We start from the raw sequence: 12937 nt of genomic DNA on the forward strand, positions 1-12937 counted from the left end.
TTTCACCTTTTAACAACCCGTGATTGCTCACTGTCTGTCTCCTGCAGTGGGGAATGCCATCTCCATGAGGCAGCCAGAGACTCTGTCTGTCTTGTTCACTGCTGCAGCCCTAAAACAGAGCCTTTGCCTGTGGTATGCACTCAATAAATATTTGTGGGTGGAACTGAATCTATGAATGTGGATCAGGGGTCCCGAACCCCCGGGCTGTGGACCAGTATCTGGCCATGGGCCTGTTAGGAACAGGGAGACCCAGCAGGAGATGAGCAAGCATTATTGCCTGAGCTCTGCCTTCCGTCAGATCAGCGGCAGCATTAGATTCTCGTAGAAGTGTGAATCCTATTGTGAACTGTGTATTCGAGGGCTCTAGGTTGTGTGCTCCTTATGAGAATCTAATGCCTGATGATTCGAGGTGGAACAGTTTCATTCCAAAACCATCGCCATCCCGTCCGTGGAAAAATTATCTCCCATGAAACTGGTCCCTGGTGCCAAAAGTCTTGGAGATCAGTGATGTAGATAACAGTCCCTAAATCAATGAGCTGTATAATAATTAAATCAATCCATCAAGAACATGAATGTTCTCATGATCAATGTGTTAAAATGAACATGACTGTTATTCTCAGTGAAAGGGCTTAAGGGTACTCCTACCTCTTCCTTCCTGTTGCTGGGGCCTGGGGCCCCATTCTGTGAGTGGGACCTCAGCTAACAGAGACCTGGCCTTCTCCCCTTCTAATCCCCTGCCTTCCCTGGAGAGTGGTAGGTGGGATGGGGAGGCTCATCTGACAGGGATTCCTAGAACAGCCTGTGTTTGTGTCATAGGAGGACATGATGGCCCCATGTGGGCAAGGGACGTGACCGAGGTCTGATGCCCAGCCTAGGTCCCTCTCACCATCCCTCTGGCAACTGCATATTTGGAATCCCAAGGCAAGAGTCAGTATCTAGCAAAGGATGCATTAAAAAAAAACTGTTCGTGAAATGTTTTAATATAGAAAGCCTTACATAGGCATTTTTCATTTTTATTTGGTTATGCTTATATTAAATCATTTTTGTTGCAAAGAATAAAATAATATGAAATTTAAAATGTCCTGGAAAATCCGAGGTATATGATTGTCTGTTTGCATTTTTCGTTTCAGCAGATATTTATTGAGGACCCATGATATGTAAGTCTTGGAGATGGAGAAGGACAAGACACATTCTCTGCTTCCGAGAGTTCTTTGGCTGGGGTCCGGAGAGGATGGGTGGTGTTGTGTAAGAGAGGATGTTGCTGCTGTAGCAGTTGTGCTCTTTGGTATTTATCCAAATGAGTTAAAAACTTATATCCACACAAAAACCTGCACAGGGACATTTACAGCAGCTTTGTAATTGCCCAAACTTGAAAACAACCAAGATGCCCTTCAATGGGTAAATGAATGAACCAACTGTGGTACATCCAGACAATGGAATGTTATTCAGGGATAAAAGAAAGATATGAGCTATTAAGTCATGAAATTACAGGGAGAGACTTTAAATGCATATTACTAAGTGAAAGAAGCCAGTGTGAAAAGGCTGTATGATTCCAGCTAGATGACATTCTGGGAAAGGCAAAACTATGGACACAGGAAAAGGATCAGAGGCTGTCAAGGGTTAAAGGGAAGGGAGGGATGAATAGGTGGACCACTGGAGAGTTTCAGGACAGAGCAACTACTTTGTGTGACACTTTATACATTTGTCAAAATCCAAAGAATGTACAATATCAAGAGTGAACCCTAATGTAAACTGTGGACTTCACCTAATCATGTATCACTATGGGTTCATCAATTATAGTAAATGTACTATGCTAATGCAAGATGTTAGTAACGGGGGAAACTGGGGGTGAAGTGAAAGGGTGTTGGGGAATTCTACTTTCTGCTTGATTTTTCTGTAAACCTAAAACTGATTTTTTTTAAAGTCCTTTAAAAAAAAGAGCGTCATGAAGTGTAATCACGGAGAAATGCATAGGTGTTATGGGAGCAATCTGGGGTAGGGGGTGGGGAGGGCTTGGGAGCATGGGGGTCACTAATGAAGTCAAGACCCTTGTATGTAAAGTTAGACAGACAAAGTTTCAAGTTCCACCTCTGCCACTTATCCACCATGTAGCCTTAGCCAAGTTACTTAACACCTCTTAAACCTCAGCTTACTCCTCTGTAAAATGGGGCTAATGACGCCTGCCACCAAATTATTATGTGATTTAAATAAAATGCAAATAAAGTACTTGGCACTGCCAGTGATGAGAGTCAGTGCTTGGCGAAAGAGAGCTCCTTTTCATGCCATGGTGGGTGAGGAGGCTGGCTCAGGTGGAGAGCAGGAGGAGAAAGCATGCCAGCCCGAGAAGTAATGTGGGCAGAGCCCTGGAGGTTCAAGGAAGAGCAGATGCAGGGGGTTTGGCTCAGCCAAGAAGGGCATGTGGAGGGTGGGGGCTGTGGCTGCAGAGGCAAAAGAGTTAGGTAGGGTGCTGTGGCCTGGCGTGCCATCCCAGGGAGTTGCTGTTTCCTCTTGAGGATTGATGGAAGGCAGGATGACTGGCACCAGGGAGAGCCCTGATTGGCTTGGCAGTTTAGAATGTTTCCTCCAGTAGGCACAGAAAAATGATGGGAGAGAGTATGGGGGAGGGGGGAAGCAGGACAGGAATGACAGCAGCAATCCAGGGACAATTTTTCTGGGTCAAAGTAGTGGGAAAAGTTGGACTGTGGGGTCTAGGAGCTTGGGATGTGGCTTGGGAAAGCAGCTTAGCTGAAGTCACCCGCTGGCTGGCTGTGTGACTGTAAGTAAGTCATTTAACCTCTTAGAGTCTCAATTAGTTCTTCTTTAAGAATGTCCATCTTCTAGGAAGATCCTGAAGTTGAAATAAGATAGTAAGAATCAAAGAAGTTCTGGGGGCGGGAGAGACATGAACTGTATACTGAAGTCTCCAACTATGGGAGGTGGAAGACGAAAATGGCACAGGCTGAAACTGTAGCATTCAGAGCAAGGACCATGGGGCTGACAGTGCTCAGTTTGAATACTGGCCCCGCTGCTCACTAGCATGAAATCTTGGTCTCGCCACTTAATTTATTTGAGCCTCCTTTGTAGCATCTGCAAAATGAGGATAGTAATACCTACCACACAAGGTTCTGTGGTGGGGTCACATGAGACAATTGCCAAGGGCCCAGAACATAGTGAGGGTTTCAAAGATGAGAACAGTCATTACTATCATCATTATTATCATCATCCTTGGAGGAATATAATCAAGAATATTTTTCTTTTATTGCGATCTGTGTTATCAACATGATGTATGTATCGTGAGTGTCTTGATAGTAAAAAATTTAATTTATCAAAAGAATAAGAAGACAAGCCACAGACTGAGAGAAAATATTTGCAAAACACATATCTGATAAAGGACTGTTAATCAAAATATACAAAGAACTCTTAAAACTTAACAATTGGAAAACAAACGACCTGATTTCAAAATGGGCAAAAGATCTGAACAGAGACCTCACCAAAGAAGGTATATAGATGGCAAATAAGCACGTGAAATGATGCTCAACATCATATGTCATTAGAGGATTCCAAACTAAAACAGTGATGAGATACCACCCCACACCTATTAGAAGGGCCAAAATCCAAAACACTGATACCACCAAATCCTGGGGAGGATGCGGAGTATGTGTGCACTCTCATGCACTGATGGTGGGAATGCAAAATGGGACAGCCACTTTGGAAGACAGTTTTAAACAAAACCAAAAGTACTCTTATCATATGACCCAGCAGTCTCACTCCTTGGTATTTACCCAAAGGAGTTGAAAACGTATGTCCACACAAAAAAATCTGCACATGGATGTTTATAGCAGTGTTTTTTTCTTAATTGCCAAAACTTGGAAGCAACCAATATGTCCTTCAGTAGATGAATGAATAAACTGTGTTATATCCAGGGAATGGAACATCATTCAGTGATAAAAAGAAATGAGAAGCCAGGTGCAGTGGCTCACACCTATAATCCTAGCACTCTGGGAGGCCGAGGCAGGAAGATAACTTGAGGCCAGGAGTTCAAGACCAGCCTGGGAAACACAGTGAGACCCTGTCTCTACAAAAAAAGAAAAAAAAAAATTAAAAAAAAAAAAAAAGAAATGAGACATCAAGCCATGAGAAGGTGAGGAAGAATCTTAATGCATTCTGTTAAGTGAAAGAAGCCAATCTGAAAAGGCTACAGACTAGGATTCCAGTGATATGATATTTTGGAAAAGGCAAAACTATAGAGAGGGTAAAAAGATCAGTGGTTGCCAGAAATTAGGGGAGAAAGATGGGTGAATAAGTGGAGCACAGAGGATTTATTTAATTTCAGAGAAAGGTCTCGCTCTGTTGTCCAGGCTGGAGTGCAATGATGCAATCATAGCTTACTGCAGCCTCAAATTCCTGGGCTCAAGTGATCCTCCTGCCTCAGGCTCTGAAATAGCTGGGACAACAGGTGTGCACCACCACACCTAGTTAATTTTTAAAAACTTTTTATACAGATGAGGTCTTGCTATGCTGCCCAGGCTGAGCACAGAGGATTTTTAGGGCAGCGAAACTACTCTGATGCTGAGATGGTGGATGCATGTCATTACACATTTACCAAAACCCACAGCACGTACAACAACAGTGAGCCTTAATGTAAACCATGGACTTTGGGTGACAATGACACATCAATGTAGGCTCATCGATTGTAACAAATGAACTCTCTGGTGAGGGATGTTGTTAATGAGGAGGTTGTATAAATGTGGGGGCAAGGGGTGTATGTGAAATCTCTGTATTGTCCATTCAATTTTGCTGTGAACCTAAAACTGCTCTAAGAAATAAAGCCTATTAAAACAATTTTTTAAAATTAGCTCAGAGTTGACACACAGAAAGAAACATATCCAGGAGACCAAGCACAGATGAAGCTCATGGATTCAGAATCTTGGAGAGGGGAAGGTCTTAGAGATCCTGTTTTCTCAGTCTCCAATCTGTGACCCTCACTTTTATAGAAGATTCCCTCATGAAACCGCCCCAGTTGGAGGACTTTTTCAGTGGGGCCTGACTTTCTTGGAATCTCAGTGGGTCTGAAGTAAAGACTTTAAAGATTGCTGCCTAGCCCCTTTGCAGTTCTGATGAGAATTAGGGTGTAGGGGACAGTGCCCCAGTCTCCCAGCTGTGAGTGGTTCAGCTGGATTGAGCCTCTGAACTCCCAGGGCAGAGGTCTCTCCTGTGGCCTTCCCCCTTGTTGGAAACCCCTTCCCCATCCCCCAAGGAGGCCTGTGAGGGTTGGACCTGGGAGGACCAGGATGGCCAAGGTGTGCAGTGCCAGGCCCAGGTGGAAGTGTAGTGGGGGATAATAAAAGTCCCCTGAACTCCAGGCCCAGGCCCAACAATCGTCCTGCACTCTCCAACCCCCCACCCCACTTCCAGGCTGATCCTCCTGGGCCCCAATCTCTCATTGCCTGGTGCCCTTGGCCTTGCTCCAGGCTTCTCTAAGGAGAGAATGGGGAGAGGCCTCATGGTCTAAGAGTGCTGAGGGCCAGGCCTTGGAGCAGGTGCAAGTTGGGTCTGGACTTTTCCATTCCAAGCCCACTCCCCTGCCCCCAGCTCAGCCACCCAGTTGACCCCCTCAGGCAGGAAGGGATGGTGGACAAACAGCTTGCATGTGGCCTGCCGTTAAGAGGGAGGTGGAGACACTCCCTGGGGCCCCATCCATGGCTACACTGAGCCTGCTGCCCTGTCATCAGATGAAAAGCCAGCAACTGCTCCTGAGAGGACCTCATTGATTAAGTCTCTCCTTGTTATTAACAGCAGGAACTCTGGGCCCAGGGTGTAGCCTTGCAGAGCTCTGAGGGAAACAGGGTGATGAAACAGAGACCTGTGGTCACAATCAACACATGCCCCTTGTTGGCTAAAGCCCACACTCCCTCCAAGGCCCACAGGGTCCCAGGTGACTTCAGCAGCCTCCGCTGGTGCCCCATGCTGGGCTCCAGTTTCAGAGCTGCACCAACCCTCCCCAGGCCTGCTGCCCCAGTAGCACCCAGCAATGGGCTTGAGCCGGCTCCCACTGACCTTTGATTGTCTGCGTTCAGTGACATCATGCCACCATGAGAGTGTTTACACCATACAATGCCAAATGCTACCAATCTGCTGACCCCTCCACCGCCCACCCTAGAGCCAATTATTAGAAATTTACCAGCAGGTCACTGTGCATGCTGACCTTTGCCAGACACACACTTCCTTCCCTCTTAAAAAAATTATTATTATTTTTTTAGAGACAGGGTCTCGCTCTGCTGCCCAGGCTAGAGCACAGTGATGCAATCATGGCTCACTGAAGCCTCAATCACCTGGGCTCAAGCAATCCTGCCTCAGCCTCCCAAATAGCTAGGACCACACGTGCATGCCACCACACCCAGCTCATTTTTACAATATTTTTCCAGAGGTGGGGTCTTGCTATGTCACCCAGGCTGGTCTCAAACTCCTGACCTCAAGCAATCCTCCTGCCTCAGCCTCCCAGGGTACTGGGATTACAGACATGAGCCACCACACCAGGCCACTTCCCTCCCTTTCTATACCTCAGTTCAGGTGGGGCTTCCTTAGAGAGGCCCTCTCTGCTCCCCCGGGCCTGCTTACACGTGCTGTTACAGGCCTATGTCTCTCCTCTCTCCTCAGAGCTGAGTAGAGTGTGGGGCACGTAGCAGGGACTCTGCAAGGCTGTGGGGAGGTGCATGGGGCAGGCTAAAGCATGACAGTTGTGAGAAGGGAAGGAGCGGTAGACACCCTTCTCGGGGGACCTGCAGTGTAGCGCTCTCTCCGTCTGCTCCAGTTAAGAATGATGTCTTCTTCCTGCATCCCTCCTCCCAGGAACAGATGATTTTCATTTTCTGCCTTGATAGCTTCAAATCGCTGCCTGTCTCTGGGAGGACTCAGGCACTTATCCTTCCTCTTCAGCAATGGGAGGATCTCCCTGGACCTCTAAACTTGGCTTTCTGTTTTCAGCAAAGTCCTTGGAAGTTGCAACCTCCGCAAGGCTCCTCTGCCTTTCCAAGCCCTCTCCTTCTCTAGCACCATTTTTCTTTTCCTCCCTGAGGGCCTTCACACTGCCCTCAGATTCCTCTTCCCTCCCATTTACAAACCTTGCTTCCAGGCGCAGACCTGCAGCTGGTCATTTACAGCTTAGTGAGAATTAGTGGTGAGGCAGCCAGAAGCAACAGCTTCCTTTCACCTCTCATCTTTCAGGGCTCAGCTTAAACCTCCTTAAAGAAGTCTTCTTGGAACAATTTCATCTTTACTTGGGATCATAGAACCTTGTTAATTTCTTTCACAGCCCTGACCACAAGTTGTGATATGTATTCATTTATCTTTCTCTAGCTTGTCTATTTACTGGAACGTTGGCTTTAGAAGGCCAGGGAACATGTTTGTCTTCCCCACTCTTACATCCTTGGGGCCTGGCCAATTGCTGTTGAAGGGGCGTTTCTTGGCTACACAAATGATTGCTCATCCATGTGCAAATCTGTGCTCTGCCCTGCCCAGTTGGGTCACCGGAGACAGCTGCCTTGCTCTGTGTCTCGGCATTCTCATCTGCAGCTGGGTATAACGGTACCCGCCTCTCTGGATTTCAAGCCTGTTGTAAGGATCAAATGTGATGCCAGGTGGGAGATGTGGACCCCAGCCATGTGTGTTGGGGTGCTGGGGCTTATTAGTCCCAATGGCTGTGCAAATGGCATCTGCCCTCCCTGTCTCCCTGCTGTACGCCGTGAAGGGGTTCCAGGAACTCCAGGTGGCAGCAAAGAGGTGAAGAGAATAATAATTGATGAATGAAAATAATGATAACCAAGTACATAATAATAATAAAAGTAATAATAACTGACTTTATTAGATACTGTATCAGATGCTGTTCTCAGCTTGTACAGGAATTAACTCATTTAACTTTAGAACAGCCTGGTGAGGTAGGTCCTCTCATGGTTTCTATTTTATAGGTGAAAAAACTGAGGCCAGAGAGATTAAGTAACTCATCCAAGAAGTGGAGGTGGGATCAAGTTTTACTTTTTGATGGGACTTTCCCTCAAATCCCTTCAATCTAATAACTTTCCTCACTTAGTTTCATGACTGTTTATTGGATTGCTAAAACCAAGAGTTTATGTCTGAGTGTGACTTTGCCCCTTTGGCAGGCCCTGGAGGCCCAGCAGTGAGTGGGACTGATCCCTGCCCCCAGGGAACCCATTAATGGGGTGCGTGCGTGTGTGTGTGTGTGTGTGTGTGTGTGTGTGTGTGTGTGTTATTCTCTGCTGCCCAGCCAGTCAGGAAACTCCCTGAGGACACAGGGAGGACTGTTCCTTCTCTGCTGTGTTACTCTAGGACAGAATGAACACTTAGAGTCCTAGAACTCCAGACTATCAGCACCAGAGTCAGCTGCTCATCAGCAAAGTTACTGATCCCTTGCTTGGTACTGGGCTTGGTACTTCATGCCAGGAACACAGTGGGAGCGAAGCCAAGCCCCCATCCTCAAGGGACATCCATATTTGGGGGTGGGGCTGGAACTCCGTGGGTCAATTCTTGGGTCAACAGAGTCCAGAGAGGGCAGGAGCCCTCCAGGGTCAGGAATCAGGTCAGTGACAGTGTGGGGACTAGAACCCAGGGCTCCTCCTTCCTAGAACTGCCCCTTCCAACTTTACCACCTGCCTCTGGATCCTGTGGGAAGCTGGCTCTCCTTCCTCCAGGATGCAGGTTGTTGCCTGGAGCAGCGGCTGACCCAGACCCCACACTTTTAGCCCAGGGCCTATTGGGGCCTGCATGGGAAAGGTGAGAATGAACTCACCACCCTCCCCTCTACCTGGCCCTTAGCTGCCTCCCTTTATCACCTTGTTAAGGACTTTTTCCTCTCCATTTGGAACCTGGAATTTCATTATTTCATATGTGAAGCTTAGGGATAATAGGCTGCCACTTGAAGGCTGCTTTTCACCTTCCAAGCCCTCTGCAGACTGTTAATTAGTCCTCTCTGGCATGCTCCAGTAAGTGTTCTTGGTCCAGGAAAGGGGAACCCAAGGGAGGCCGAGGGACTTGCCTCAGGGATGTGGGGCTGGCAAAAGCCTGAGGAGGAAAAAGAGGAGCCCTGCATTCTGGAAACTTCTCCTAACGGACACCTAGCTCACCTAGCTCCCAGGCTCCTTTCCTGTTAGGACGGCTGAATAACTGAGGGCAGGAGCAGATGGGAGCCCTCCTGTGGGAATATGGCTCAAAGAACTTCACAATTGGACCCTAAGTTGGAATCCCATCCCCTGCTAATTGCACGACCTTGGATGATAATTAACCTCTAAGCCTCCGTTTTCTTTTCTGTGGAATGGAGGTAATAACAAAGTGCTCCTTGATGTTGAGGATTGAGCTAGGTAAGTATCTGGCACAGAGTGGTGCTCACTAGGAGTGAATGGATGAATGAATGAATGAGTGTGGCTAGTGGTGGGTTGGAGTGGGGGAGGATTAGAAGTATGGAGAGGCAAGATGGGGACGGAGAGGAAAATAGGGACTCTCCTTCTTCCTTTGCCCCTCCTTATCCTTAGCCCCAAGGCCAGGGGTTTTGCCCACAAAGCAACCACTATCCATGATGTTGCATGGCTGGTCAACGAGGGATGGATGTCTGTCTTTGCAAGCCTTTGACATCCCCTGAAAATGGTGATATTGTCTATTTTTAACAGTGGAGAACCCCATCGATGAGTTGCCAGGTGAGAATATGTCCATCTGCTCAGCCTCCCCAGCTGGACCACTGTGAGGGTCAAAACTAGACAGTGGATGCCACAGCCCTGGCTTCAGGGTCTCTCAGACCTGGAAACAAATCTCTGCTGCTCCACTCACTTGGACAAACACTCAAGCTAAAGCAGGGAGATCCTCCCTGCCTCTCAGGATGATCGAGTTTGGTTCTGTGATGAGCTGTATATGCACACCAAGCAGCTCACTGTTGAGCTCAGTGGTAGCCAAAGCCAACAATGTAGGTGCCTGGGACACCAAGCACGAGTTGCACCCTTGGGTCCATGGCCACATGGAATGGGAGGGAGGTTGCCTCCAGCCAACTGGTCACCTACCCAGTCCTCTCCATAGACTGGCATGGGAGTTAAAAAGGAGGGCTGAGAAATGTGTTCAATGTTTAAAAGTCATTCCTAGCCAGGTGTGGTGGCTCACACCTGTAGTCCCAGCAATTTGGGAGGCCGAGACGGGAGGATCACTTGAAGTCAGGAATTCGAGACTAGCCTGGAGTTTGAGACCAGCCTGGCCAACATGGTGAAACTCTGTCTCTACAAAAAAAAAAAAAAAAAAAAAAAAGAAACCCACAAAAATTAGCTGGGTGTCATGGCACACACCTATAATCCCAGCTACCAGCTGCTTGGGAGGCTGAGGCATGAGAATCTCTTGAACTCGGAAGGCAGAGGTTGCAGTGAGCCGAGATTGCACTACTGTACTTCAGTCTGGGTGACAGAGTGAGACTCCATCTCAAAATCAATAAAATAATAAATAAATAATAAATGTCATTTTTTACATTTTGGTACCCTCTAAATTTCAGTACCAGGGACCCCTTTGCCCCCCATCCTACTTGGGACTCCTGTGCAAGTTATTTAATGACAGTTTCATCCTTCATGTTGTCTCTTCAAACCCGTCAAAAGCAGGGACTGAGTTTGGGGTGTGTCTGGGTCCCCAGTGGCTGGCACACCATAGGTGCACAATTAATACTTGCTGTTGGTGGTGACAATGTAAGGGATGGGGGTTTAGAACGTGGGAGGGATCAGAAGGACCTCATCTCATGAGGAATCAGAAATACTGATCCTGCCTCCTGTCTGTGCCCAGAAGGTAGAAATATTGAGAGAGAGAGAGAGAGAGGATGGGAAAAGCACCCATGAGAGAAGTGAGTACCACCTGGCTGGTGCTTCCACCATCTGCCCAGCCCTCTTGACTGGGACAGGGGGTGCATAAGGGCTAACCAGATATGAACAGATCCCTGAGGCAGGGTGTATTTGCTGAAGGGTGGGAGGAGCTAGCTGGTTAAGGGATGGCATGGGGAGAGGGTGCTAGGGGAGCATTCTAGGGTAGAGCCCCAGGGTGGGCAAACTCCAGAGGGGCACAAGGTAACCTCTGCCTGGGGAGATTCCTCCTTCCCTCAGCAGCCAGCATCTCTTGGGGCACTGCAGAGAGCAGGAGCCCCCAAGCCCAAGAGACTTGGGGCATCTCAACCCCGCTTCTCACAACAAGTGTGATTTGGGCAAATTATCTAACGAGATATGGCTGGAAAAGGCTTGTCCCTCCCATGTGCAAAATCCCCACTGTCTCCCCAGTGCCTGTGCCAGGCATCTGTGGTCTGGCAGCTGTGAGGATGGTTTCATGTGTAATCTATAGGTTCTTTCCACGCCTTTCTGAAGCTTGGTGAATGCCTGCTACCTTCTTCTGTGATGTGACTCCACGGTCAACCAGAAATGACACTTCACATTCACTCATGTGCTCACTTGCTCACTACTCAAACTTTATTGAGTTTTTCTATATCCCACAGTGCTGGCCACTGGAGGTTGGATGCGAGTCCCCACCTGCCGGGTGTTTACAGCCCCCTGAGGGAGACAGACAAGCAAATGAACCATGACCACACAGAGTGATCAGAGCTCAGCAATGAGACTGTATCCGTGGGTCAGCAACACTGCCTGGAGGAAGCATTAAGGTTTGAGCCCAGAGAGAAGAGAAGATACTGAGGTTGGGAAGAGAAGCTTCCATGTGGAGAGGGGCACATATGCAGGTCTGGAGAATCACAAGTACTTCAGCAAGGCCTAGCAGAGAGCTGAGGGGCTAGGTGGTCAACGGCCTCACATGCTGGGCTTTATTCTGAGGGTAACGGGGAGCCATGGAAGAGTCTGGAGCTCCAGAGTGAAATGTTCAGAAAGTGTTCTTTTTCTTTTTGGCTAGAATAATAATAACTGAGCCAACACTGGTTATTCTGTGGGAAAACACACAGATCATTGCTTAATAGAAGTGGTCTATTCGGAAGAAAAAGCCTGCTGAAAGGTGGGATCCAGAGAAAGAACCAAACAAAAGGCCAAGCAAAAGGTGGTGATGACATTGGTGACCTCAGGCCCATACCATATCTCTTCACCCCACCACCCCAGCTTTGCCCCCGTTATTTCAGACAGACCTTCCTTCCTGTTGGGACACGTGTGTGTGTGGCTGTGCCTGTGACTTGGCTCTGTGGTCACCTGCCTGTGTGTGCCACTGCCCCTGCCTCCCTGCTCTCCACCACTCCATCTCTCCAGAGCCCGGTTCTGCCACCTCCTCCAGCAAGCCTGCCCTGGGCCCCCCTGGTTCCTGAGAATATTTTGCTATATCCACTTGGAAGAACTTTAGTAGGGTTTCTAAGGCAATGTGAATGCTGCGGTTGGGCTGTGAGGTAGAATAATCAGTGCTCAGACCTTAACCTGCATAACCAAACAGTAAGCAATTTGAGGGCAGGGGCTATGCCTCATTCCTTTCGGGAGACCTCAGTCATCCAGCTCTGTGCCTGAGAAGCAGCAGGTCCCATATTAAAATGTCTGTTCAGTGGATTCATGTTTCATTGTGTGCATCCTAAACTTGTCCAGGACTACTGTGAGCCTCCTCTTTGGAATAAGTGTAGGACCCCCCTAAATTTCTGCAGGGTCATTCTCTTCAGTGCCTGGTGGCCCAGTCTCCTTTCTGAGCCTTCTGGACTTGCCAGGTACAATTTACTGTCCCTTTTGCTGGGCTCCCATAGATTTTGGTGCCTATCTCTATTGTGTTTCTTATTCTATTGGGTCAAAGGCATTTTGTAAAAAGCGTCCACTCTCTCCACCTCCCCACCCCCACACCCAGCCCAGTGTCTAATTTGCAGTAGGAGATCAATAAGTGTTTGTTGAATGAAAAAAAATGTACTAGCAAGAGTACAGGACCACTCCTTAGGCATATTAAATGG

At 48.0% G+C, this 12937-nt stretch overlaps 2 annotated features.

Moving 5' to 3' along the window:
* Nucleotides 11252-11431: an enhancer, noted in NCBI's record as "active region_9671". NCBI's record gives its function as "activates an Ori minimal core promoter by ATAC-STARR-seq in GM12878 lymphoblastoid cells {active_cell/tissue: GM12878}" and the evidence as "EXISTENCE:reporter gene assay evidence [ECO:0000049][PMID:35858748]".
* Nucleotides 11442-11491: an enhancer, noted in NCBI's record as "active region_9672". NCBI's record gives its function as "activates an Ori minimal core promoter by ATAC-STARR-seq in GM12878 lymphoblastoid cells {active_cell/tissue: GM12878}" and the evidence as "EXISTENCE:reporter gene assay evidence [ECO:0000049][PMID:35858748]".

This window comes from Homo sapiens, chromosome 15, assembly GCF_000001405.40.
Source record: "Homo sapiens chromosome 15, GRCh38.p14 Primary Assembly".
Classification (NCBI taxonomy): Eukaryota; Metazoa; Chordata; class Mammalia; order Primates; family Hominidae; genus Homo; species Homo sapiens.